The 27,614-nt window shown below is 42.0% G+C and overlaps 1 protein-coding gene across 1 annotated transcript in view, besides 5 other annotated features; it reads right to left on the bottom strand.

Moving 5' to 3' along the window:
- The window catches only part of CBFA2T2 (CBFA2/RUNX1 partner transcriptional co-repressor 2), a 159,935-nt gene that overhangs the window by 101,448 nt on the left and 30,873 nt on the right, over positions 1–27,614 (bottom strand). The window lies entirely within an intron of this gene.
- Positions 11,570–12,288: an enhancer, noted in NCBI's record as "H3K27ac hESC enhancer chr20:32124101-32124819 (GRCh37/hg19 assembly coordinates)". NCBI's record gives its function as "activates a minimal SCP1, AML or CMV promoter by ChIP-STARR-seq in primed H9 embryonic stem cells {active_cell/tissue: H9 hESC(primed)}" and the evidence as "EXISTENCE:reporter gene assay evidence [ECO:0000049][PMID:30033119]".
- Positions 14,185–14,684: an enhancer, noted in NCBI's record as "H3K4me1 hESC enhancer chr20:32121705-32122204 (GRCh37/hg19 assembly coordinates)". NCBI's record gives its function as "activates a minimal SCP1, AML or CMV promoter by ChIP-STARR-seq in naive H9 embryonic stem cells {active_cell/tissue: H9 hESC(naive)}" and the evidence as "EXISTENCE:reporter gene assay evidence [ECO:0000049][PMID:30033119]".
- Positions 17,212–17,712: an enhancer, noted in NCBI's record as "H3K27ac hESC enhancer chr20:32118677-32119177 (GRCh37/hg19 assembly coordinates)". NCBI's record gives its function as "activates a minimal SCP1, AML or CMV promoter by ChIP-STARR-seq in naive H9 embryonic stem cells {active_cell/tissue: H9 hESC(naive)}" and the evidence as "EXISTENCE:reporter gene assay evidence [ECO:0000049][PMID:30033119]".
- Positions 19,468–19,968: an enhancer, noted in NCBI's record as "H3K4me1 hESC enhancer chr20:32116421-32116921 (GRCh37/hg19 assembly coordinates)". NCBI's record gives its function as "activates a minimal SCP1, AML or CMV promoter by ChIP-STARR-seq in naive H9 embryonic stem cells {active_cell/tissue: H9 hESC(naive)}" and the evidence as "EXISTENCE:reporter gene assay evidence [ECO:0000049][PMID:30033119]".
- Positions 19,969–20,469: an enhancer, noted in NCBI's record as "H3K4me1 hESC enhancer chr20:32115920-32116420 (GRCh37/hg19 assembly coordinates)". NCBI's record gives its function as "activates a minimal SCP1, AML or CMV promoter by ChIP-STARR-seq in naive H9 embryonic stem cells {active_cell/tissue: H9 hESC(naive)}" and the evidence as "EXISTENCE:reporter gene assay evidence [ECO:0000049][PMID:30033119]".

Genomic DNA, 27,614 nt, shown 5'->3' with positions numbered 1-27,614 from the left:
AAACTAAGTCCAAAGACTACACAACTAATTAAGAAATCAGGCCAGGCACGGTGGCTCATGCTTGTAATCCCAGCACTTTGGGAGGCGGAGGCAGGCAGATCACCTGAGGTCAGGAGTTCGAGACCAGCCTGGCCAACATGGTGAAACCCCATCTCTACTAAAATTACAAAAATTAGCCAGGTGCGGTGGTGGGCACCTGTAATCCTAGCTACCTGGGAGGCTGAGGGAGGAGAATCACTTGAACCTGGGAGGCAGAGGTTGCAGTGAGCCGATTGCGTGACTGCAATCCAGCCTGGGCGACAGAGTAGACTCCATCTCAAAAAAAAAATAAAAAAAATAAAAATAAAAACTCCCAGTACTCAAAATAAAAGGAAACCTACAGGTGAATGCTAAAAATTAATTAGAGGCCCAGCAATTATAAGACAAGCAGAATAATCTAGAGATCCTGCCTTCTTTGTATAATTTCCAACTTTATATACTGGAATTATTTCTTCTTCCTACACCTCAGGCCAGGTATCGTCCAGTGGCTCATGCCTGTAATCCCAGCACTTAAGGAGGCAGAGGTGGAAGGATCGCTTGAGCCCAGGAGTTCAAAACCTGCAATACAGCAAGACCCCATTCTCCACAAAAAGAAAAGAAAACAAAACAAAAAACAAGTGTAACTGCCTTACCCCTCAGTAAAGTATTTCTGGTTTTATAAATAAAAATTAGTAACGAAATAATGTTCACTTCACAGAGAGGTTTTTACATCTAGTTTTGTTGACATGCCTTCATTCAAAATACTGGGAGTGCCTATACAGATTTTTATAATATACACCTAATTTTCTGCCAGGCAGACTTTTAATTTTACTTACACACACACACACACACACACACACACACACACACACACACATTTTTTTGAGACAGGGTCTCGCTCTGTTGCCCAAGCTGGAGTGCAGGGGTGCAATCATAGCTCACTGCAGTCTTGACCTCCTCACCTCAAGTGATCCTCCCACCTCAGCCTTCTGAGTAGCAGGACTACAGGTGCATGTCACCATGCCTGGTTAATTTTTTGCAGTTTTTTGTAGAGATGGGGTCTCAAACTCCTAGACTCAAGCTATCCACCTGCCTAAGCCTCCCAAAGTGCTGGGATTACAGGCATGAGCAACAGCACTGGCCATTTTATTATATTTTTATTTTTAAATTTTTTATTTCTCAGAGATGTGTTACCCAGGCTGGAGTGCTGTGACCCAATCATAGTTCATTGCAGCCTTGAACTCCTGGGTCCAAGTCATCCTCCCGACTCAGCTTCAAAGGTATAGCTGGGATTACAGGCATAATCTTCCATGCTTGGTCCCAAGCAGACTTTTTATTTCCGGTCTTTTTTATTTTTTTCTTTTTGAGACGGAGTCTCGCCCTGTTGCCCAGGCTAGAGTGCAACTGCACAATCTCGGCTCACTGCAACCTCTGCCTCCTGGGTTCAAGCAATTCTCCTGCCTCAGCCTCCTGAGTAGCTGGGACTACAGATGTGTACCCCATGCCTGGCTAATTTTTGTATTTTTAGTAGAGTTGGGGCTTCACCATGCTGGTCAGGCTGGTCTCGAACTCCTGACCTCAGATGATTCACCCGCCTCGGCCTCCCAAAATGCTGGGATTACAGGCATGAGCCACTGAGCCTGGCACAGTATTTCACACTTTTAACAAACTCTGGCTCCGAAATGAAACTAAACAGAGAGGTAATGTGGAGTTATTTTTCTTTTCTTTTGCTGCTACAAATGGTAAACTCAATTGTAAAGAAAACACCCAGGCCAGGCACAGTGGCTCACGCCTGTAATCCCAACACTTTAGGAAGCTGAGGCAGGTGGATCACTTGACCCCAGGAGCTCAAGACCAGCCTGGGAAACAGAGGGAGACCTCTATAAAAAAATACAAAAAATAAATCTCTACAAAAAATAAAAATTGTATCCACTACAAAAAATTAAAAAAAAAAAATTAGCCAGGCATGGTGGCAGGTGCCTGTGGAACATATGCCTGCAGAGTACTTGGGAGGCTGAGGTGGAAGGATTGCTAGAGCTGAGCAGGTAAAGGTTGCAGTGAGCCGTGATCCTGGCTGCTACTACACTCCAGCCTGGATGACAGAGAGAGTGTGTCTCCAAGAAAAAAAAAAAAAAAAAGTATATCCAGATAGGCCATGCTGAGCTAAATTAATTTTTCAGACCAAAAAAAAGAAGAAATTCAAAATTTACACCAAATAAACAAAAAGAAAATTTATACCAACTGAAAATGTCCTTTTCTTTAGTCTTTACAGTGTGGCTGCTAAGGCCTGGTTTTATAAGCTTCATTATTTATCCTATATAAAAACAATACAAAAATGTTTATTCTATTATTAAATTAATTGCAAATCTTCAGGAAAAAGTAAAGAAAAAATGTCAGTTACTAACAGATAAATTAGCAGTTTATATACAAATAAGCACCTCTTCCCTCAGATAAACAAATTTAAGAGGCAGATAATTCAGCATTATTATCATCAACTATTATTAAGTGTCTACCACATGGTAGGCTTGCACAGAAAGATACAGGCCTTGTAGGACATTTAACAAAACATCCTACTACAGTAATGCTTTCATTATTTAAACTGGCACATGACAGATTATGTTAACAGCTTCATTTATTGACTAAGTCTAATCATATTTCCTCAGTTGGCATCAATATAATATCTACTATTTACATTTGCTTCAACACTGGATATTTGTTCAAAAGTCTTCCATATTTGATTTTCTACCACAGAATTTTAAATGAACAGAAATGAAATTCTGTGTTTTTCTATGGTAGACTGCAAAAAGATAAGAAAAAGTCTGAGTATGTTGGCTCACGCCTGTAATCCCAGCATTTTGGGAGGCCAACAGGGGACAGATAACCTGACGTCAGGAGTTCAAGACCAGCCTGGCCAACATGGCGGAAGCCCATCTCTAGTGAAATACAAAAAATTAGCCAGGCATGGCGGCATGTGCCTGTAATCCCAGCTACTCAGGAGGCTGAGGCAGGAGAATCCTTGAACCCGGAGGCAGAGGTTGCAGTGAGGCGAGATCGTGCCATTGCACTCCAGCCTAGAGGAAAACAAACGAACGAAAGAAAGAAAGAAAGAAAGAAAGAAAGAAAGAGAAAGAAAGAGTCTTAATGAGAGCTAAAAATCATTTCATTTGGGAATCCCACTAACAATCCCACTAATAACTTGCATTTTATTTCAAGGAAATTTTGTAGTTAAGTGTTCCACAGGAATGAATTAAGATCAAAAATTATCTAGTGGCATTTTTCAAAAACTGATCAAGCAATCACCTTTCCTGGCACACAGCTTTTCTATTTAATGTTTTATAGTTTTCAGTTGATTCAAAACATACCCCAAGATCACATTCTTTTTAAGAAACACTGCTTCCTAAAGTTTAAATGCTTATTATTTCACAAAGGTTTTGAATTACACATACCAAAAAATGTGAAAAACATGGTTAACGTCATTTGGAGTAAAGAAACCACAAACTGTAAGCTTCATGAGAGTTGGGACTGCCTGTCTACCTTGCATTCTGTTCTGTTCTATTCTATTCTATTCTATTCTATTCTATTCTATTCTATTCTATTCTATTCTATTCTATTCTATTCTGTTCTATTCTATTCACTCATGCATGCAACAAATATTTATTGTGCATCTATCAGATGCCTGACCATGTTTGAGGCAATGGAGATACATCAATAAACCACATAGGCCGGGCACAGTGGCTCACGCCTGTAATTCCAGCATTTTGGGAGGCTGAGGCGGGGGGATCATGAGGTCAGGAGTTCATGACCAGCCTGCCCAATATGGTGAAACCCCATCTCTACTAAAAATACAAAAATTAGACAGGCGTGGCGGCAGGTGCCTGTAATCCCAGCTACTCAGGAGGCTGGGGCAGGGAACTGCTTGAACCCAGGAGGTGGAGGTTACAGTGAGCCGAGATCGCGCCACTACGCTCCAGCCTGGGTGACAGAGCGAGACTCCATCTCAAAAAAATAAAAAACAAATAAATAAAAATAAAAATAAATCAAATAGACAAGATTCCCTGTCTTCTCTGAAACTAGCAAGAGGAGACAAAGAACAAACAAAATTAATAAATACTATATACAGTATATCAGAAGGTAATAAGCTGGTAAAGTGAGATGGGGCACAGTTTTAAATAAGGTAGCCTGGTTGACCTTGCAGAGAAGGGAAGAAATGAGCCGCAGCAGGACAGGTGAAAAAAGAATTGTCTAGGTAAAGGTCCTGAGGCAAGACTAGGCCTACAGTCTTCAAGGAACTGCAAGAAGTTAGTGTGGCTGAAGCTGAAAAGTAGTAGGATATGAGCTGAGAGGTCAAGCAGTGGGCAGGGAGAGGGAAGCAGATCACAGATAGCTTCCAGCCACTGGAAAAACTTTGGTCTCTTTCAGTAAAATGGGAGTCATTAACAGGGTTCTGAGCAGAGAATTGACATGACCTGACTAAATTGAACCACTCTGGCTGCTATGTTCAAAACAGATGGTAGGGCAAGAATGGAAACAGGGAAAACAACTAGGAAGCAACTCCAATAATCCAGGCCAGAGATGCTAGTGGTATGGACAAGAATGGAAGGGGTAAAGGTAAGATGTTACTTGGATTCTGGATTCTGGATATAGTCTCAAGGTAGAACAAACAGGATTGCACTCTAGCCTGGGAGACAAAGTGAGACTCCACCTCAAAATGAATAAATAAATAAATTAATTAATTAATTTAATTTAATTTAGTTATCAGTGCTTTGAAATATGGTTATCATAATGTTGCCTGTCTTCTACTTGGCAACAATGAAAAACCTCCAAATGCTGCACAAAGCAGAGCAGTGGTCAGGAGACTGGCACCTCAGCACACACTCACTTTACCTTTCTGAGCTTCCGTTTTTTCCAATTGTAAAATGAATCTTTGTATGTTCTTCCCTCTAAGAACGCTCTTTTCCTCTGACTGAAATCTAAAACACCTTCAAGTTCAGCTCCTGTTGCCTTCTCCATGGAGGCTTTCCAGGTTCTCTAGTACGTGTTCATCTCCCCCACTTCTTTGAACTCTAATAACTATTTACTTTTATTGATGCAGACCATTCATTTGGTCCTATGTTGCGAACTGCCTTGAATGTTAACTATTTTACGTGTTTGTCTTCAGCACTCCATTGCGCCAGAAAATCTTTAAGTATCTACTTATTCTGGTTTTCCCTATAATATCTAATACAAAAGTGTATCACTATAAAATAATAATTTTTCGCCGGGCACGGTGGCTCACGCCTGTAATCCCAGCACTTTGGGAGGCCGAGGCAGACAGATCACAAGGTCAGGAGTTAAGACCAGCCTGACCAACATGGTGAAACCCTGCTCTACTACAAACACAAAAGTTAGCCGGGCATGGTGGCATGCGCCTGTAATCCCAGCTACTCAGGGGGCTGAGGCAGGAGAACTGCTTGAACCTGGGAGGCAGAGATTGCAGTGATCCAATATCATGCCACTGCACTCCAGCCTGGGCGACAGGGCAAGACTCTGTCTCAAAAAATAATAATAATAAAAATTTGTCTTACTAATACTTAATACAAATTAAGTATTAGTAAGAAATAGCCGGGCATGGTGGTTCAAGCCTGTAATTCCAGCACTTTGGGAGGCCAGGCAGGCAGATTGTTTGAGTCCAGGAGACCAGCCTGAACAACACGGGGAGACCCTGTCTCTACCAAAACTACATAAAATTAGTCAGGTGTGGCCGCATATGCCTGTAGTCCCAGCTTCCCGGGAGGTTGAGGTGGGAGGACCACTTGAGCCTGGGAGGAGGAGGTTGCAATGAGTCAAGATCGTGCCACCACACTCCAGCCTCCATGGCAGAGCAAGACCCTGTTCCTGAACCCCCCAAAAAAAGACTTAGTAAGAAAGACTTCTTCTGTTAGTTCCTACAAAGACTGAATATAGCAATTTCTGTAGAGTTTATTTTAATAAGACATATAAGTTTAAAGGCAAAACAACAACAAAACTCAAATGCATATGTCCACAATATATATACATTGATAATTGAGAGAGTATTCAGAAGCTTTAAAATTAAAATCATCCTAAAATGGAAGAGGCTTAATGAAAAAAATTATAATAAAAAAAAATTTAAAACTAAAATCAAAGGGCATCTTAAACTGAGGGTACAAAAAGTTCATGTAAACACAAAAACCTGTAAAATACTAGGTAGCCAGGAACAAAATAGATCTAGTTCCTCACAGGTGTTAAGACTGGTTCTTCTAGCAGAGTTACCAATGATTATTGGTTTTAACTGATCACTGACTTAACCACTCAGGCAATAGAAGAGCAAAACGAGGTACTAGGCTAGATGCTGTAAACCACATGTTCCTCTAGCCCACATACTCAAGCTCATCTGAGGAACTTGTTAAAATGTAGGTTCCCAGGCCTAAATCAGAACCAAGTAATCAGAATAGGGGGTCCAGGAATCCAAACTTTAATAAGTTCTTCAGGTGACTCCTCTATACACTAAAGTTTGAGAAAACTGCTAGGTGTAGTGGCTCATGCCTATAATCCCAGCACTTTGGGAGGCTGAGGCGGGAGGATCACTTCAGTCCAGGAGATGGAGGCTGCAGTGAGCTATGATGATGCCACTGCACTCCAGCCTGGGTGACAGAGTAAGACCCTGTCTCAAATTAAACAAAAACAAAAACAAAAACCTGTAGCACTAAGACAAAGTCCCTGCTTTCAGTAATATAGTAGGGGATAAATGTATGCATAACACAAGATATAATAAAAAGTAACAAGTAAAAAGTACCAAAAATTATAGAAAAAGTCTCTTCCAGCTAGGCAAAGAACAATAAAGGCTTCATGGAAAAGTTAGGAGAATTTTGAGTTCAGATGATTTGGGAAAATGTACCTGTAACTGACAGAGAAAGAACTAAAAACAAACAAACAAACCAGGAACATAACTGTGGAAAGGCATCAGCCTAGGCTAAAATGTGTAGGTCATAAGTGTCTACCACAATCAAGCCACTGCCTGAGTAACAGAGCAGGAGCAAGAACTCATCTTAAGCACTAGAAAGCCCTAGACCTAATGGAAAAATAGAGTCCGGCTTCTCTGTCCTTACTCAGTTATACGACTCGTCAATTTCAAATCCCTTCCATACACCCATATACAATTTAAGAAAGATGACCCGCTGGTCTCCAACCAATGGAGATGGGCGGGTATATGGATTTCCATTCACATTCCCTGCTAAAATCATGAGTCTAACTTTGGCTTAACCTGCTTCTAATCACTTGACCTCTGAACAAACTGCTTCTAATCACTTGACCCTTGACCTCTGGACTACATGACAACCACCTTTCAGTGCCCTCAATGCTAGATCTAGTTCCTGACTTCAATCCATCACCTAAATGCAAAATATCAGCAATGGAAGAGACATCTAATCAAAGTTTCCATGGTACTATGGGGAAAGTGAGGTGCCAGTTGACTGGTTCCAGAAACCAGATTTCCTGGCTGCCTGCAAATTACTTTCTAGCGTCCCACAGTGCATCTTAAACTTTACCTCTCAAGGAATGTTCAAATTACTTTATTAACTTATTAGAGCCAAATTCATTAAGCTAGTACCTTCTACTTGCACAACTCTAGGGTTACCTTTCACATTATATTCTATGTGAATAGCACCACTGTAGAGCACAACTCCAGAATACAATTAGAATGGTGATTCTGGAGTTATAGGCTATGCCAGTTAGGGTTCTAACAAGTACCCTAGATATCAAATTTATTAACATACTTTATATACGCAGCACTAAGGAAGCATCCAACAGTTTAGAATGATTACTACGGCTTTTACTATGGCTTTTTAACACAACGAATAAAAGTACCCTTGCATCATCTTCTGGTTTCCATTCCCTTTACTTTAAAATGCTAACTAGCCCAATAAATCATTCTCTAGTCAGCATGTTACCATATAACTTCTTAACGAAATCTGAAAAGTCTTAAGCTGTTTTTGAAAAAGCATGTTATAAGGGCTGCTTTGCATATTAATCAGGTTTATCATTTTTAGCTGAAGTTTCAGTCAATAAAGGTGGTACCATAAGATTACTATATTTTCACTGTACAGTTTCTATGTTTAGATATACAAACACCATTGTTAAAACTGCCTACAGCATTCAGTACAGTAACATGCTGTTAGCTACTATTACAGGTTTACATATATCCTAGGTGTGTAGTAGGCTATATTATGTAGGTTTGTGTAAGTACACTCTATAATGTTTGTACATCACCTAATGATGCATTTCTCAGAACATATTTCTGTTGTTAAAAGACATAAGACTATACATGTAAACCTAAAGGAAATACTGAATATTCTACCACATTCAATGTTGAAACAATGTGATTTTTAAAAAACATTTAATAAATGGTTTATAGTTACCAAACTCCCATTCTGTTTTATGAGCAACCCTCCTTGTTTGATGGCCAAAATTAAAAAGTTAATTACTGTTCTCTTAAAGCTACTTTTAATCAAACAAAAACATTTCTGCCACTTCCACTGTAGCATGTAAAATTCAACTTACTTCACTCCTAAAACCTAAATCTGACCAAAAAACAAACAGGCCAGACATGGTGGCTCACACCAATAATCCCAGCACTTGAGGAGGCCTTTGGGAAACCAGCCCAGCCAATATAGCAAGACTGCATCTCTACAATAAATAAAAATTAAAAAAAAAAATTATCCAGGCATGGTGGTACGCACCTATAGTCCCAGCTACTCAGGATGCTGAGGTGGGAGGATTGCTTGAGCCTAGGAGTTTGAGGCTGAAGTAAGCTGTGATCATGCCATTGCACTCCAGCCTGAGTGACAGACAAAGACTGTCTTCTACCAAAAAAAAAAAAAACACAAAAAACAAAAAAAACCTTACTTCGCTGTCACCCTACAAAGTATTTTGATGCACTGCTTCCAAATTAACTATACAATCAACCAATTATTTTAGGGACCTATAATACATTTATGGTAGGCATTTTGAGGAAAACAAATATTTTCCAAAGATATACTCCCAGTCCCTAAGTTTAGTAAGATATCAACTCAACAGGGATGTAAACAATGATAGGAAATGAGTAATAAAGATGGGCTTCATTGACCTCGAAACATGAGGAAGATGCAGAGGGCCTGAAAAGAGATTGGAGAACAGCATAAGCAACAGTGCAGAAATAGGATATGCAAACAAGCATTCATTCCTTCACTTGGTGCTCACACTAGTGCCAGACTAAATATTTACAGACTACCCACACTGTGTTGCAGGCACATGGCTATGATTTCTATGTTCTCTCTTTCAATTCACATGACATATTGTAAAGTTCTTGTGTTACTCTCTTCCTACAGATAAGCAAACAGGCCTAACAGTTAAAAAACTTGCCCAAGATTATACAGACACTAAGCAGCAAAATGGGAATTCAAACCAAATTTCCGAACCTCAACTCTGATGCTCTCTCCCCAACTATAATTTTAAGTGGGACCTAGGCTAGAATAAGTTGCAATGGTAAACAGAAATGCCAATTATTGACAGGAAGAAATATTTGATCCCAATGTGGAGGAATAAATAAGTTGGAACTTCATGTAATTGGTAGCTAGGAATTATGATATGGCCCTGAACAAAATGAAACCAGTGTTTTCTGAAGACAACATAGACTGAGAGAATACCTCACAGAAAGCCATTAACTAATTAAAAAAAAAAAACAAACAACAATATGATAATATCTAAGACCAAGAAGATAACAAAAGAAAATTGAAAAGGACAGAATCTCTGAAGCAGTGACAACACAGAAAATACTGATAATAAGTAAATAAGTAAAACAAGTGATAATTGGAAAGAAGTAAAATTGTCCTTATTTGCAAATGATGTACAGAAAATCCAACGGAGGCCAGGGACGGTGGCTCATGCCTGTAATCCCAGCACTTTGGGAGGCCGAGGTGGGTGGATTACCTGAGGTCAGTTCAAGACTAGCCTAGGCAACATGGTAAAACCTTGTCTCTACTAAAAATACAATTAGCCAGGCCTGGTGGCAGGCAACTGCAATCCCAGCTACTCAGGAAGCTGAGGCAGTAGAATTGCTTGAACCCAGGATGCAGAGGTTGCAGTGAGCCGAGATTGGGCCACTGCACTCCAGTCTGGGTGAGAAAGCAGGACTCCATCTCAAAAAAAAAAGGAAAAAGAAAAAAGAAAATCCAATGGAATCTCCCCAAAAAGCTATTAAAATAAGTGAATTTAGCCAAGTTGCAGGATACAAGATCAATACACAAAAATCAACTTCATGTCTATAGAGTAGCAATGACCAAATACTGAAATTCTGAAAAAATTAAAACAGTATCAAAAATTGTGAAATATTAAGAGAAAAATTTGACAAAAGACATAAAACCTGTACAGGAAAAACACAAAAATACTACTGAGAAACATTAATTAAAATAAAATCACTAATTTAATTTGTTAATTTGTATCTCTCCTAAACTGTTAAGACGTCAGCTCTTCCCCCAAACAGATTCAATGTAGTCCCAATCAAAATCCCAACGTGCTTTTTTTTTTTTTTAAGAAATTGAGAAGCTAATTCTAGAATTTATTTGGAAATGCAAAGAACCTAGATTACCTAAAACAACTTTGAAAACGAATATAGCTAGAGGACTAAAACTGCCTCACTTCAAGTTATAGTAAAACAGTGTGGTACAGGCATAAAGATAAGGTAAACATATCAATGGAACAGAGTCCAGAAACAGACCCACAGATATATAAACAACTGATTTTTGACAAAGGTACAAGGACAATCCGGTAGAGGAATGATAGTCCTTTCAACAACTGGTACTAAAACAGCTGGATATTCATATGCAAAAAACTGAACTTGGATCCTTAATATCTCATACCATGTATTAAAATATTAGATCTACATGTAAATCTAAAAACTACAGAAATTCCAGAAAAAAACATACAAGAAAATCTTTGTGAACTCGGGTTAGGCAAAGATTCCTTAGACACAACAAAAGCTATAAAAGCTAAAAAGAGCTCTCCCTCTCCCTCTCACTCTCACCACGGCCCACGGTCTCCCTCTTCCTCTCTTTCCACGGTCTCCCTCTGATGCCCAGCCGAAGCTGGACTGTACTGCTGCCATCTCGGCTCACTGCAACCTCCCTGCCTGATTCTACTGCCTCAGCCTGCCGAGTGCCTGCGATTGCAGGCGCGCGCTGCCACGCCTGACTGGTTTTCTTACTTTTTTGGTGGAGACGGGGTTTCGCTGTGTTGGCCGGGCTGGTCTCCAGCTCCTAACCGCGAGTGATCCGCCAGCCTCGGCCTCGCGAGGTGCCGGGATTGCAGACGGAGTCTGGTTCACTCAGTGCTCAATGGTGCCCAGGCTGAATGCAGTGGCGTGATCTCGGCTCGCTACAACCTCCACCTCCCAGCCGCCTGCCTTGGCCTCCCAAAGTGCCGAGATTGCAGCCTCTGCCCGGCCACCACCCCGTCTAGGAAGTGAGGAGCATCTCTGCCTGGCCGCCCATCGTCTGGGACGTGAGGAGCCCCTCTGCCTGGCTGCCCAGTCTGGAAAGTGAGGAGCGCCTCTTCCCGGCCGCCATCCCGTCTAGGAAGTGAGGAGCGTCTCTGCCCGGCCGCCATCCCATCTAGGAAGTGAGGAGCGCCTCTTCCCGGCCGCCATCCCGTCTAGGAAGTGAGGAGCGTCTCTGCCCAGCCGCCATCCCATCTAGGAAGTGAGGAGCGCCTCTTCCCGGCCGCCATCCCATCTAGGAAGTAAGGAGCGTCTCTGCCCGGCCGCCCATCGCCTGAGATGTGGGGAGCGCCTCTGCCCCGCCGCCCCGTCTGGGATGTGAGAGCACCCGGCTGCGACCCCGTCTGGGAGGTGAGGAGCGTCTCTGCCCGGCCGCCCCATCTGAGAAGTGAGGAGACCCTCCGCCTGGCAACCGCCCCGTCTGAGAAGTGAGGAGCCCCTCCGCCCGGCAGCCGCCCCGTCTGAGAAGTGAGGAGCCCCTACGCCCGGCAGCCACCCCGTCTGGGAAGTGAGGAGTGTCTCCACCCAGCAGCCACCCCGTCCGGGAGGGAGGTGGGGGTCAGCCCCCGCCAGGCCAGCCGCCCCGTCCGGGAGGGAGGTGGGGGGGTCAGCCCCCCGCCCGGCCAGCCACCCTGTCCGGGAGGTGAGGGGCGCCTCTGCCCGGCCGCCCCTACTGGGAAGTGAGGAGCCCCTCTGCCCGGCCAGCCGCCCCGTCTGGGAGGGAGGTGGGGGGGGTCAGCCCCCCGCCCGGCCAGCCGCCCCGTCTGGGAGATGAGGGGCGCCTCTGCCCGGCCGCCCCTACTGGGATGTGAGGAGCCCCTCTGCCCGGCCACCACCCCGTCTGGGAGGTGTACCCAACAGCTCATTGAGAATGGGCCGGGATGACAATGGCGGTTTTGTGGAATAGAAAGGGGGGAAAGGTGGGGAAAAGATTGGGAAATCGGATGGTTGCCGTGTCTGTGTAGAAAGAAGTAGACATGTGAGACTTTTCATTTTGTTCTGTACCAAGAAAAATTCTTCTGCCTTGGGATCCTGTTGATCGGTGACCTTACCCCCAACCCTGTGCTCTCTGAAACATGTGCTGTGTCCACTCAGGCTTAAATGGATTAAGGGCGGTGCAAGATGTGCTTCGTTAAACAGATGCTTGAAGGCAGCATGCTCGTTAAGAATCATCACCACTCCCTAATCTCAAGTACCCAGGGACACAAACACTGCGGAAGGCCGCAGGGTCCTCTGCCTAGGAAAACCAGAGACCTTTGTTCACTTGTTTATCTGCTGACCTTCCCTCCACTATTGTCCTATGACCCTGCCAACTCCCCCTCTGCGAGAAACACCCAAGAATGATCAATTAAAAATAAATAAATAAATAAAATAAAATAAAATAAATAAATATTTAAAAGGTCAAAAAAAAAAAGAAAAAATAAAAAAATAAAAATAAAACTCAATCCATGCCCAGACTTCCTGCCTGGGCCTAACAAAGAAGCCTTCTCCTGCAGACCCCAGGACAGCTAAGCCACTGAGCTGGTTCTTAGCACCAATCTTCTAGATCAGTTCAACTCAAATTCCTTGCCAGGCTTGTAAGATAAATAAGGAAGCAACTGAGTGGGGACCATGGGGACCTGTCTTAAGGGGCAGCAGCTACTGCTACTGAACCCCAACCACCACGACTATGTGGGAATATGACCCAGTGTGGCCAAATTTTCCAGTTTTTGTAAGGGAATCCCAAAATCCAGACTTTTATTTTCTAAATATTGACTCAAATTTGTAAAAAGCTCTATGTAGCCCCAACTAAACATGTCTGTGGGCTAGATTAGCCCTTTGGCTAGCTGGCCACCAGTTGACCATTTCTGTAGACAAGATTCTCAGAAAGGCAACCACAGCCTCAACTTTTACAGGATTATTTTCTACCTAAAGAGGCATGTGCATAAATGGCAGGATGCCCAGCACACCTCATTTTACTGTGTTTCACTTTATTGTACTTCACAAATATTGCATTTTTTAACAAATGGAAGGTTTCTGGCAACCCTGTGTCAAGCAAATCTATCAGTGCCATTTGTCCAACAGCATGCACTCACTTCCTGTCTCTGGATCACATTTTGGTAATTTTTGCGACATTTCACAGTTTCTCATTATTATTATATCTGTTATGGTGATCTGTGATCAGTGATCTTTGATATTACTATTCTAATTGTTTTGGGGAGCCACAAACTGTGCCCATATAAGATGGAAAACTTCCAATAAATGCTGTGTGTGTTCTGACTGCTCAAAAAAAAAAAAAAAAAAAAAGCTAAAAAGATACAAAAAATCTTTTTAACTCTATTCTTTGAAAGAAACTGTTAAGAAAATAGACAAGTAATACGCTGGGAGAAAATATTTGCAAAGCATATACCTGATTATATACCTGATTTAAAAAAAAACCTCAACAGGCTGGGGGCAATGGATCATGCCTATAATCTCAGCACTTTGGGAGGCCGAGGTGGACGGATCACTTGAGGCCAGGAGTTCAAGACCAGCCTGGCCAACATGGTGAAACCTCGTCTCTACTAAAAATACAAAAATTAGCCGGGCGTGGTGGCGCGTGCCTGTAGTCCCAGCTACTCAGGAAGTTCAGGATCACTTGAACCCAGGAGGTGGAGGCTGCAGCGAGCTGGGATCGCACAACTGTACTCCAGCCTGGGCAACAGAGTGAGACTGTCTCAAACAAACAAACAAAAACCTCAACAGCAAGAAAATAAACAATGTAATTTTTTTAAATGGGTAAAAGATTTAAACAGACATTTCACCAAAGAAGATATATAGATGGTAAGTACTTGAAAATATTTTAGAAAAAGTTTGGCAATTTCTTAAATAGTTAAAACATATGATGCAACCACACCATTCCTATGTATTTACAAAGGAAAAAGAGTCTGGGCACAGTGGTTTAACACCTGTAATCCCAACACTTTGTCTGGGAGGCCAAGGCAGGAGTATCACTAGAGCCCAGGAGTTCAAGACTAGCCTGGGCTCGAACCCCATCTCTATTTGTTGTTGCTGTTGTTGTTGTTTCTGAGATGGAGTCTCGCTCTGTCACCCAGGCTGGAGAGCACTGGCGTGATCTCGGCTCACTGAAACCTCGGCTCAATGCAACCTCCACTTCCAGGGTTCAAGCGGTTCTCCAGCCTCACCCTCCTGAGTAGCTGGAATTACAGGCACACACCACCATGCAAGGCTAACTGCTGTATTTTTAGTAGAGACGGAGTTTCACCATGTTGGCCAAGCTGGTCTTGAACTCCTAACATTCAGGTGATCCGCCCACCTCAGCCTCACAAAGTGCTGGGATTACAGGCATGAGCCACCACGCCCGGTTCCCATCTGTGCTTTTTTTTTTAAAAAAGAAAAGACAAAAGCAAGCATATGTCCATATAAACATTTATATATGAATGTTCAAAGAAGCTTTATTTGCAATAGCCAAAGACTGGAAACAACTCAAACATCTATCCACAGGCAAATAAACAAATGTGATATATCCATACAACAGAATACTACTCAACAATAAAATGGAATAAACTACTGATACATACATCTTAAAATAATTATGCTGGATGAAAGAAACCAGACCTAAAAAGGAAGAAAGGATGGAAGGAAAGGAGTGCATATTGTATGATTTCATCTATATAAAACATATATACATAAAATTCTATAAAATGCACACTAATCTATAGTGACTGAAAGCAGATTAGTGTTTGCTTGGAGACAGGGCAGGGGGAGCATGGGAGGGAGAGATTACCAATGGGCACAAGGATACTTTATGGAGTGAATGATATGTTGACTATCTTGATTGCAGTGATCATTTCACAGGTATACCTGCCAAACCTGAGCAAACTGTACACTTTACATATGTGTAGTTTATTGTAAGTCAATTAAACCTCATTTTTTTTTTAGTGAAAGAATAAAACAAAAGTATATGTAAGGGGGGAAAAGTGATAAAAGTTTAAGAAGAAAATGCAGGAAGAAGCACTGTTTGTTCAGGAAGGGGCGTGTAGTTCTCTGAGGATTCCATGCAGTTTGAAACAGCTGTGTATGAGATGACAGTGAAATAAGCCAAATGGACATCATCTGTAGGCAGTGAGAAACACGGTTCCAAAACACAGAGAGGAATCACTCCTTGAGAAACAGCAGAAGACAGCACAAGGGAGAAGACAGTGCCAGGCAGCACAATAGCTCATTTATCTATAATACCATGCCATATACAAAATATACTATTTTGTGGAACATTCCCCTAGGCCTGTCAGCTTTTAAACTGCAAGTCAGAATACTCCCCTGGCTTATTTTACCGATAAATACAACTGAAACACAAGATGCAGACAAGATACATCCTCTCACAGTGTTAAATGAGACATTCAAACTTGGTTTTGGTTGCTCTGAAATGTTAAAAGGATCTAACACACCTTGTATAATTCACCTTGATAGTGAACATTCAAAGAGACACACAGTTTAGCAGAAAATAACTGAAATTGACTTACATGTCTCAGTTGCTTAAAGCAAAAAGGAAAGCTACACTTGAAATGTACCTTGTTATAAATGTAACATAAATGTCAAACTCTAAATAGCCTGGTGAAAAAGAGCTAGTAGATCGGGTATGCTGCTATCTCAGAGATCATTCCCTACCCCTTGCCCAACGTTTCTGCTGTAAACTCAAATGTCAACTTCTCAATAATGCCTTCCTAAGTTCCCTCTTCGTTGTGTACCTTTGACAGAATTACACTTTTCTGCTCTCAAAACCATACTTGAACAATAACAGTTATTTCCTTAATCTATTAGAGGTTAAGTACTGTCATACTCATCACTAGCCTAAACGCAGTGTTCTGTGCACACCAGGAGCTAAAAATGGGGAAAAGAGGTGTTTGATGGGATAAGGCCAAAGGTGACAAGGCCTAGAGAGGTCTGGAAACCAAACCTAAGCCTCACCAGAGTTCTGGTTTCCTTTCATTAAGTCTGGTAACTGCAGCTTATTGGGGCTGAGGGGATAGGTTCATGGGAGGTCACTACATTACTCCATCTACTTTGTGTATGTTCAAAATTCCCCACAATAAATTGTTAAAAAATAAAGAGTAGGTGAAGATATGATTAAACCCTTCTTGTTCTTACTTTCCTACCTTTGAACTTTTCTTTTTCCTTTTAACTTGATCTTTACCAGCTTTCCCTCCTTTGTTGTCAACGGGTCCACTGGGTCATTAACCAGTTAACAAATGGTGGTTTGGAGGATAAAAGACAGACCCTTTGCACAGGCAGTGGAATTCCAAATGCTAGACTCCTGGCTCCACAATGTCTGATTCAGAAAAACTGCTGGGAGCTATTAGTTTAGCTCGCCCACCCAGGCATATTAAGACTCTTCCAGTTCCTTTTACACCACTCCCATATGCCTCTCATTTATGCCTACACAGTTTTGTGATTGTGTGCTTTTGTTTAGCACAGGAAGAGATCAGGTCCAGTGTGACCACAGAAATTATTAGGAAGGTCTAAGGATAAGGATTCCAGAATGAAAGTAGTTTCAAATGTGAAACTGCAACAGATCTGAACTGTTTTTTCTAGTGGGGCAATAATCCAACAAAAATGCATTTCAAAATCCTAAACACAGATGAAGAGGATATACAGCAGCAGTGTGAGTAGGATTCTGGCCTAAATGACAGCATTTGCCATTTTGTAAGCACCCTGTGCTTTCCCCGCTCTGAGCTTTAGTTAACGCTCCCCTCTGTACCTGAAACTGTGGTCTAGATCAATGTGCTTACAGTTTCCTTCATGCTTCCACCTTGGACTGAAGAAGCATACTCTTCCCCTTCAACAAATATTTCCTGAGCACTGCACACTGACACTGACACTGTACTGCACCCTGCATTTAGTCCTTAAACCCTTGCTCTCAATTCGTCCCTCCTACTGCAACTAGAAGCCTTGTTTGTTTGTTTGTTTATTTATTTAGAGACGGAGTCTTGCTCTGTTGCCCAGGTTGGAGTGCAATGGCGTGATCTCGGCTCACTGCAACCTCCGCCTCCTAGGTTCAAGCAATTCTCCTGCCACGGCCTGGATTACAGGAGCTGCGATTACAGGCGCCTGCCACCACACCCGGCTAATTTTTGTATTTTAGTAGAGATGGGGTTTCACTACGTAGGTGAAGCTGATCTCAAACTCCTGACCTCAAATGATCCGCCCGCCTCGGCCTCCCAAAGTGCTGGGATTACAGGTGTGAGCCACCGCGCCTGGCGCCATCTTTATTTTCATGGAACACGCACCGCACTTTGTTCATGTGCTTTTATAGTGCTTCCTACAAGTGGATCAAGAATGGGCATGTGGGCTGGTGCAGTGGCTCACGCCTGTAATCCCAGCACTTTGGGAGGTGGAGGTGGGCGGATCACTTAAGGTGATCCGAGACCAGCCTGGCCAACATAGTGAAACCCCGTCTTTACAAAAAATACAAAAATTAGCTGGTGTGGCTGCGCATGGCTGTAATCCCAGCTACCTGGGGGGCTGAAGCAGGAGAATTGCATGAACCCGGGAGGCAGAGGTTGCAGTGAGCCAAGATTGTGCCACTGCACTCCAGCCTGGGCAACGGAGTGAGACTCTGTTTCAAAAAAAACAAACAATGGGCATCAGACCTAAAAGCTGGTTCAATCAGGCTATTTTGCTGGACTCCTACGTGGAATGCCAAGCATTGCCTCTCATGCTCTCATTATGACAGTGAGGTATAAGGACATGTAGCTTTAGTCATTTTGCCACCAGAGGTGAAGCCAGCCTTAAGGAGATTCAGAGATTGAACAAGATACAAAAGAGAAACAAAGAGGCTGGGTGTGATAGCTCATGCCTGTAATCCCAGCACTTTCAGAGGCCATGGCAGGAGGATCACCTGAGTCCAAAAGTTCGAGACCAGCCTGGACAACACAGGGAGACCTGATCTCTATTAAAAAATAAAATAAAATAGGCCAGGCGAGGTGGCTCATGCCTGTAATCCCAGCACTTTGGAAGGCCGAGGCAGGTGGATCACCTTAGTGCAGGACTTTGAGACCAGCCTGGCCAACATGGTGCAACACTGTGGCCACTAAAAATACAAAAAAATTATCCAGGTGTGATGGCGCACACCTATAATCCCAGCTACTTGGGAGGCTGAGGCAGGAGAATCAATTGAACCCAGGAAGGGGAGGTTGTAGTGTGCCCAGATTGCACCACTGCACTCCAGCCTGTGTAACAAGAGCAAAACTCCATCTCATTAAAAAAAAAAAAAGAAATATATATATATATATATATATATATATATATATATATAACTGCTTTCTTCTTTCTTGATACAAGACACTAGAAGTAATCTTATGCCTAGTTTTTTTTTGTTTGTTTTTTTAAAGACAGGGTCTCAAGCAATCCTCCCATCTCAGCCTCCTGAGGTGTGGCACATCACCATGCCCAGCTAACGTTTTGCATTTTTTGTTGCTCAGACTGGTCTCAAACTCCTGGGCTCAAGAGATTCACCTGCCTCAGCCTTGGCCTCCCAAAATGCTGGGATTACAGGCGCGAGCCACCATGCCTGGCTTGTCTCTTTTGTAACTTACAAAGAGAACAAAGTAAAGGAAAGAGGGATGGAAAGAGCTCCTGCACTAGTTAAACCAGAGTTGAAAGAGGCTTGATGGAAGGTTACCAAAGGAGAACATGAATCTGTGAGAAAATGTCGTAAGGTAAAAATAACTGGTGCACTGGGCGCGGTGGCTCACGCCTGTAATCCTAGCACTTTGGGAGGCCGAGGTGGGCGGATCACGAGGTCAGGAGATCAAGACCATCCTGGCTAACACAGTGAAACCCCCTCTCTACTAAAAATACAAAAAATTAGCCGGGCATGGTGGCAGGCACCTGTAGTCCCAGCTACTCGGGAGGCTGAGGCAGGAGAATGGCGTAAACCCGGTAGGCGGAGCTTGCAGTGAACTGAGATTGCGCCACTGCACTCCAGCCTGGGCGACAGAACAAGACTCCGTCTCAAAAAAACAAACAAACAAAAAAAACAAACAAACTGGTCCACGCGTAGTGCAAACTCCCAAAAGGAAAAGAAAAAGGTTAAACACTTCCTCACACCAGCCAATTGGTGGCATCACGAGCCCAAAACTTGGTACTGGCTGGAACAGATGGATTAAGTTGGTTCTTAGGCAAATTAGCCTTCATTCTCAACCAAGAGTTGACATTTTAGGCCGGGTGCAGTGGCTTACGCCTGTAATCCCAACACTTTGGAGGCCAAAGTGGGCAGATTGCTTGAGCCCAGGAGTTCAAGACCAGCCTGGACAACATGGTGAGATCCCGTCACTACACCACACACGCACACACACACACACACACGAGTGGACATTTAAGGCAGGTTAACATAGTTACATGTATATATAACTGGCAAAAAGGTACAGAGCAGCTTAAAAGGGCATGTAAGTCATATCCCTGATTCCACACGCATGGGCTGGGAACAAGAATATAACTGAGACTTCAGTCAAAGGCTGATAATAAAGCCCTCATCTGGGATCCTCTGATTCAAAAAAGAGAGAAAAATAGCCCACCAAACAATCAAGCCAGTGAAAAGGTCTGGATTTCGGTCATGATCTGCTCTTCTCTAGGTCATGTTGAAGGCAATTCTTCGACTGATTCAGACAACATTTTCCACATGCAACCTTTACTGATCACTTCCTTTATTCTACTCATATGTCCTCATCTTCATCTGTCTTTCTGTCTTGCTTAGTTACCTGAGTTCACAGGCCTTACCTCTCTTACTAGCTATCAAGTTTCTTAAGACATGGGAAACTTGTCTTATACATATCACAGTCTCCAGATCTGAGAGAAGTAAACTTTGAAGAATCAGAAAACAAACCCTTGAGCCAGGTATAGAGGCAAGAGCCTGTAATCCCAGTTACTGGGGAGGCTGAGGTGGGAGGACTGCTTGAACCCAGGAGTTTGAGACCAGCCTGGACAATGGAGTGAGGCCTTGTCTCTACAAAAAGAAAAGAAAAACCAACACTTCAGCCAGGTATAGTGGCATGAGCCTGCAATCCCAACTGTTCAGCTGACTGAGGTGGGAAGACTGCTTGAGCCCAGAAGTTGGAGACCAGCCTTGACAACACAGCAAGACTCCATCTCAAAATAATAATAATACAGCAAAGAAAAAAAAGAAAATAAAACAAACATAAAATATATACAAATCAGGCTGGGAGTGGAGGCTGACACCTCTAATCCTAGCATTTTGGGAGGCCAAGACAGGCAGATCACCTGAGGTCAGGCATTCGAGACTAAACTGGTTAACAAGGCAAAACGCTGTCTCTACTAAAAATACAACAAAAAAAAAAGAAAAGAAAAGAAAAAACAATAAGACTTAGGGCTGGGTGAGGTGGCTCACTCCCATAATCCCAGCATTTTGGGAGCCTGAGACATGCAGATCATCTGAGGTCAGGAGTTTGAGACCAGCCTGGCCAACATGGCGAAACCCTGTCTCTACTAAAAATACAAAAATCAGTTGGACGTAGTGGCACGCATCTGTGATACCAGCTACTTGGGAGGCTGAGGCAGGAGAACTGCTTGAACCCGGAAGGCAGTGGTTGCAGTGGGCCAAGATCACGCCACTGCACTCCAACCCGGGCGACAGAACAAGAATTCATCTCAAAAAAAAAAAAAAAAAAAAAATCAGTCGGGCCTGGTGGCACAGCCCTGTAATCCCAGCTACTCAGGAGGCTGAGGCAGGAGAATCACTTGAACCTGGGAGGCAGAGGTTGCAGTGAGCCGGGACTACACCACTGCACTCCAGCCTGGGTGATGTAGTGAGACTCCATCTCAAAAAACAAACAAACAAAAATACACACACAAAATTAAGTGATATGTGATTTTAAAAAACTATAATTAAGAGATTAAGAAGAACAATACTTTTTAAAAAGGCTTCTGGGTTTACAAAACTTTACCAAATAGCTATTTCAGCATAGTCTTGTATTGTCTTTATAATGCAGCTGAGGACTGGAACAAAAGTCACTTACTGCCAATTCATCCTATAAACTTAGGAAACACTGGAATGATCACAAACCCAGATAACGACAGGTGTAGAGATCTGCTTAGACCATCATTCAAATGCACCCGAGTATGCTTGTGACTCTTACCCTAAATATTGCAATGCAAGCCAGGTGAGTAAGAGATAGAAGTAGGAGAACTTTCTGAGGCTTCCAACCACACAAACTGCTAACTTCCTCTCAGAGTTGTCTTCATAGAACACATGGAAATATAGCTTAAGATATATATTTCCCTTATTGTAATAAATCTACATTTTTTTTTTTGAAAATTTGGCCTTGCTGAACAAGATTGGAGTACCCACAATAACCTGTCAGTATCCTATAAAAAGCTAACTTATCATACTGAATTTGGGTGTTTGACAAACTTTTAGTTTTGCCATAAAATAAATGTATTCATTGCTGGGCGCAGTGAGAGAAATGAAAACGTGTCCACATAAAAACCAGTAAACAAATGTTTATAGTGGCTTTATTTATAATAGCCAAAAAGTGAAAACAGGTCACAAATCCATCAACTGATGAATGAATAAACAAAATGTGGTATAATAGATTATTTTTATTGCTACAAACGTTGAACTAGCAAATCCTGAACCTTTGCTCCTAGAGGAAAACACACGGTTAGGTTCCTGTGAGCCTCTAGTCACATTTTTGTCAGTAGATCATCAGTACACACCTTCTTTTTTATGTGTTTCTGATGAAAGACACCTTATTTATTTACTTATTTTAAATTTCAATAGCCTTAGGGATACAGTAGTTTTGGGTTACACAGATGAATTATATAGTGTTAACACCTTACTTAAAATATATGTAAGGCCAGGCGCGGTGGCTCACGCCTGTAATCCCAGCACTTTGGGAGGCCAAGGCGGGAGGATTCATTAACATGTCAAACAGCCTGAACAAAGCTTATTTAATATATTTTCCTCTAAAGTACAGCATAGCTTTCTAGCTCTTGGAAACAGGAGACAGCACTTCAGCATTATACTTGAAGGCCAATCACCAATAAAAAACACAAAGGCAAATCCATAGACAGAAAGTAGATTACGTGGCCAGGTGCAGTGGCTCACACCTGTAATTCCAACACTTTGGGAGGCCAAGGCACAAGGATCGCTTGAGCTCAGGAGTTTGAGTCCAGCCTGGGCAACAAAGTGAGACTTCATCTCTACAAATAATTTAAAAACTGGTCACAGGCATGGTGGCATGTGCCAGTGGTTCCAGCTACTTGGGAGGCTGTAGTGGGAGAATTGCTTGAGCCCAGGTGGTCGAGGCTGCGATGAGCTGTGACTGTACCACTGCACTCCAATCTGGGTGACAAAGTCAGACTCCATCTCAAGGGAAAAATAAAAAAGTAGATTAGGGACTGGGGAAAGGAAAAATAGACAGTAATTGTTAATGGGTATGGGGTTTCTTTTCGGAGTGATATAAATATTCACTGCACTGTGTGCAGTGATGGTTATAAAACCTTGTCAACATACTAAAAACTATTAAATTGTATACCTTAAAGAAGTAGGGTAGGGCCAGGTGCAGTGACTCACACCTGTAATCCCAGCACTTTGAGAGGCCAAGGCAGGAAGATCACCTGAGGTCGGGAGTTCGAGACCAGCCTGACCAACATGGAGAAACCCCATCTCTACTAAAAATACAAAATTAGCCGGGCATGGTGGCACATGCCTGGTAATCCCAGCTACTCAGGAGGCTGAGGCATAAGAATCACTTGAACCCAGGAGGCGGAGGTTGTGGTGAGCCGAGATTGTGCCATTGCACTCCAGCCTGGGCAACAAGAGCCAAACTCTGTCTCAAAAAAAAAAAAAAATGGAGGTAGGGTATGTGAATTATATCTCAACAAAGCCATTTACAAAAAAAGCGGCCGGGTGCACTGGCTTACGCCTGTAATCCCAGCACTCTGAGAGGCCAAGGCAGGTGGATCACTTGAGGTCAGGAGTTCAAGACCAGCCTGGACAACATGGTGAAATCTCTTCTCTATTAAAAAATACAAAAATTAGCCAGGCGTGGTGCCACACACCTGTAAGCCCAGCTACTTGGGAGGCTGAGGCAGGAGAATTGCTTGAACCCGGGAGGCAAGGGTTGCAGTGAGCTGAGATCGTGCCACTGTACTCCATGCCTGGGCAACACAGTGAGGCTCCATCTCAACAACAAAAAAAAGCTATTTGTCACATTTTCTGACATATATAGCAGTCATACATATATACATTTTCTTTTCAAATTAACCAAAAAAATATACCTTACCATACTATTACCTGAGTGCAACTCAACCAGCTCATTTCTAGCATAGCAAGCATAAAGTTAATTCCCCTCTACATGTATACCTTTCTCCTATTAAGATTGATCCTGGTTTGTCTTCTTATGTATTTAAGTGAGCATCTGGATTTTTTTTTTAATCCTAAAAATAAATTGCAACAAAATTATTTTATTTGAAAATGAGAACAACGTTTGCAAGTTCATGGCATGCCCATCTAGGCAAGTTCCAAGAAAAACAACTACAAAGCGGGAGAAATGTCATAAATCACTCAAGAACCCACAGTCTGAAAGCCCCTTCATTATTCCAAAACCATACCCATCTGGTATGCAACAAAGTGTAGAAACCACTTCTCTGTTCAAACTCTGATTCTGGAATCCACAGAATCCAAAAATCATAATAATATGAAAAAGAGAACAAAAGACTGAACTTTTCTTTCTTTCCTGCCTAGCCAGAAATCTCAGCCCACGTGACTTGTGACAGGTAACAATCAGTGTTGATTTTCTTAAGATCTTACTTGAGATTTATTATGAAACATTCCCAGTTAAATGTTAACTATGTGCCAGGCACTGAGTTAAGGTAATTCTTTTAATAATAATAATAATTTTAAAACCTGTACATATTTTTGTCCTGAAAACTGAAGTCTAAAAAACGAGAAAACAAAAAAAGAGGGACAAAAAAACCCAAAAAACTGAAGTCTGCTCTAAAACCTACCTACAAGTGATAACCATTAAAAACTAAAAAAAAAGCACAACACACTGGCCGGGCGTGGTGGCTCATGCCTATAATCTCAGCACTTTGGGAGGCCGAGGCGGGCGGATCACCTCAGGTCAGGAGTTCGAGATCAGTCTGACCAACATGGAGAAACCCCGTCTCTGCTAAAAATACAAAATTAGCCGGGAGTGGTGGCGCATGCCTGTAATCCCAGCTACTCGGGAGGCTGAGGCAGGAGAATTGCTTGAACCAGGGAGGCGGAGGTTGCGGTGAGGATCATGCCACTGCACTCCAGCCTGGGCGACAAGGGTGAAATTCCATCCTGGGAAAAAAAGAAAACAAAACAAAAAACACAACACATAGGGAATAAATTAGGTCTTAAACTGAAAGACTCTCCAATCTTAGCTTATTTTTCTTCAAAGTATTTATCCCCACCTGGGGTTTTAGTACACGTTTGTTTGCTTATTGGATCACTAGACTGTGATCCTTATGGAGTAAAACCTCTCTCATCTAGATAAGAACCCCATTTTTTTAAATGCTTTTGAAAAATAAGAATGATCTTTATTATTTAATTAAGATAGACTCTGTAATTAAATTATAATTCAGGGAGGCTGCAAACATATATGGGAGGCTGAGGCAGGAGAACTGCTTGAACCCAGGAGGCAGAGGTTGCAGTGAGCCAAGATTGCACCACTGCACTCCAGCCTGGGCAACACAGCAAGACTGTCTCAAAATATAAAAAAAAATAAATAAATAAAAAATAAAGCCTATGATTTATCCCAATATGTCTCAAATTTTAATGTTCATATGAATCACCTGGGAAATCTTACTAAAATGCAAATTCAGTAGGTCTGGGCCAGAGCCCAGATTCTGCATTTTTAACAAGTTCCCAGGTGGCAATGCTGCTGCTCATACCCAGAATCTACAATGCGTATCTATATTCCCCATGGCTAAGGTAAATTTGCCCCTTCCTGTCTAGTTCTAAAGGGATAAGTATACAACTAGCCAACTTCTACAAAACAATCCTTAAAGGCTTATCAAACTTCTGTATTTTCTCTTCATCAGACACAAGTTTTTGAACCTTTCCATTGGATTTTCTTTTTTTAGGGATCTTTTAAATCCTCTCAAAAGCTGCTCTCATATATCTCTTAAGCTGAAGAAGTTAAACCTTAAGTATGATAGGCAAAACTACTAGCTCTCTTCATGCATCTCAATGGTATAATTGTTTCTAAAATAACACTATAATACAGGTTCTGTTTTATTTATTTACTTATTTATTAGTTTTGTGAGACAGGGTCTCACTCAGTTGCCTAGGCTGCAGTGCAGTGGTGCAATCATGCCTCACTGCAGCCTTGAACTCCTGGGCTCAAATGATCCTCCCACCTCAGCCTCCCAAGTAGGTTGGGACTACAGGCACATATCACGAAGCCCAGCTAAATTTTTATTTTTTTAATTTTTTTTTTTTAAACAAACAGGGTCTTGCTATGTTGACCAGGATGGTCTCAAATTCCTGGCCTCAAACAATCCTCCCACCTTGGCCTCCCAAAGCGCTGAGAGTACAGGCATGAGTCACTGTGGCTGGCCCAGGTTCATTTTTACTTGGTAGTACCAGATGAGCTGAGATCATGTACACTAGTGGTTGCTCCCTACATTAAATTGGCTTACTTATCTATGCTGCTGTTTCTCTGTTAACTATCACTGAATTTGATCCACTGGCTTTCACTACTCGTTTCTGAAAGAATTTTTTAGAAGGTTATTTTGAATTTTAACCCAATTCTCCAAGGAACCAGGCCCTGGTACTGAGGAATAACTTATTTTCTGTAGCTCTTGGTTTTCTCACCTGTGAAGTAATTAAGGGTGAGGGTCATGAATGTACTCTAGTCTTCCTTCCAAGAGTCTATGACCCTGGAGTCTCTATTTCAATTCCATTCTTCAGTGCATGGAACCTGTGACCTCTATTTTGTTCTATGTTGCCTAACTAAAGGCTCTTTTTGCTTACTTCCCAGATCTTCCCTGCCATAAACTATATATATATATACTACTATTTATAAGTAGCCTTACAAGGAACTCTCTCAGAGAAGTTAACGAGCTGGAAATATCTTCAAGTAACTAAAAACAAAAATAAAACCTAAACAAACAAACAAAAAACCCTTAAATTATCTTTCTCAATGCCAACCAAGAAACACACACACACACACACACACACGCAGCTCAAATTTACATCTTTTTTTGTTCAATTTTGCTGTTACTATCCAGACCAAAGGCAACACCTGTGCCAAGGTAAATGCTATGCTTAGGTATATATGACTGGAGAGAGCTGGAAAAGCAATCAATTAGCTCTTCTCCTTAGTCTCACCAGCTGTATTTTCCTGATGACACAGAATCTGTCCACCTGCTCCCACAGATGGTACAGCTGCAGTTAAAGTAAAACACCTGGACTCCATGCAGTTTATTAGAACAATGTTAGCTGTAGATCAGGCAAGCCCAGGTCAGCATTTCCATCTTATCACCCAGATTAAAACAAACACCATTTTAAACTATAGGATGCTAAAATATGCCTTTTATCCCCAAAACACAAATACAACAATTTTGTTATAATAATAATGTCAGAGAGTTATTATTATAACAAGATAAATGTCAGGAAGAAATTTAAAAAGAATTGATTAGAGGGTAACAATCCTAGATTACAAATTTGGTTGTCATTAACCACTTCCCCAACTACTTAATTTAGAACATTTATAGAAGATAACACTAGCAAAACAAGCTCATTACTCCCTAGCCATCACGGCTTCATAAGCATGGTAGTGTCAATACAAGTAAATGTGCTAAATGAATGGATAGTGCTAAATAAACAGAATATGAGAAATAAGAATTTCTTCCTAGTTGTATACTTTATAATTGAGAAATGTTTTCTTCTCCCCCTAAAGCCTTAAATCGACTTAACCTATACTTAAATCCTCCGAGAAATGTCCCCCCATTAAGAAAGACTCATCAATATTGGTAAACTATCTAGGATGGCAGCTGAAAATTGTGTGTGTGTGTGTGTGTGTGTGTGTGTGAT

This window comes from Homo sapiens, chromosome 20 (assembly GCF_000001405.40).
Source record: "Homo sapiens chromosome 20, GRCh38.p14 Primary Assembly".
In the NCBI taxonomy this organism is placed as follows: domain Eukaryota; kingdom Metazoa; phylum Chordata; class Mammalia; order Primates; family Hominidae; genus Homo; species Homo sapiens.
Note: the sequence above shows the minus strand (reverse complement) of the source record. Positions and strands in the feature narration are given on the sequence as shown.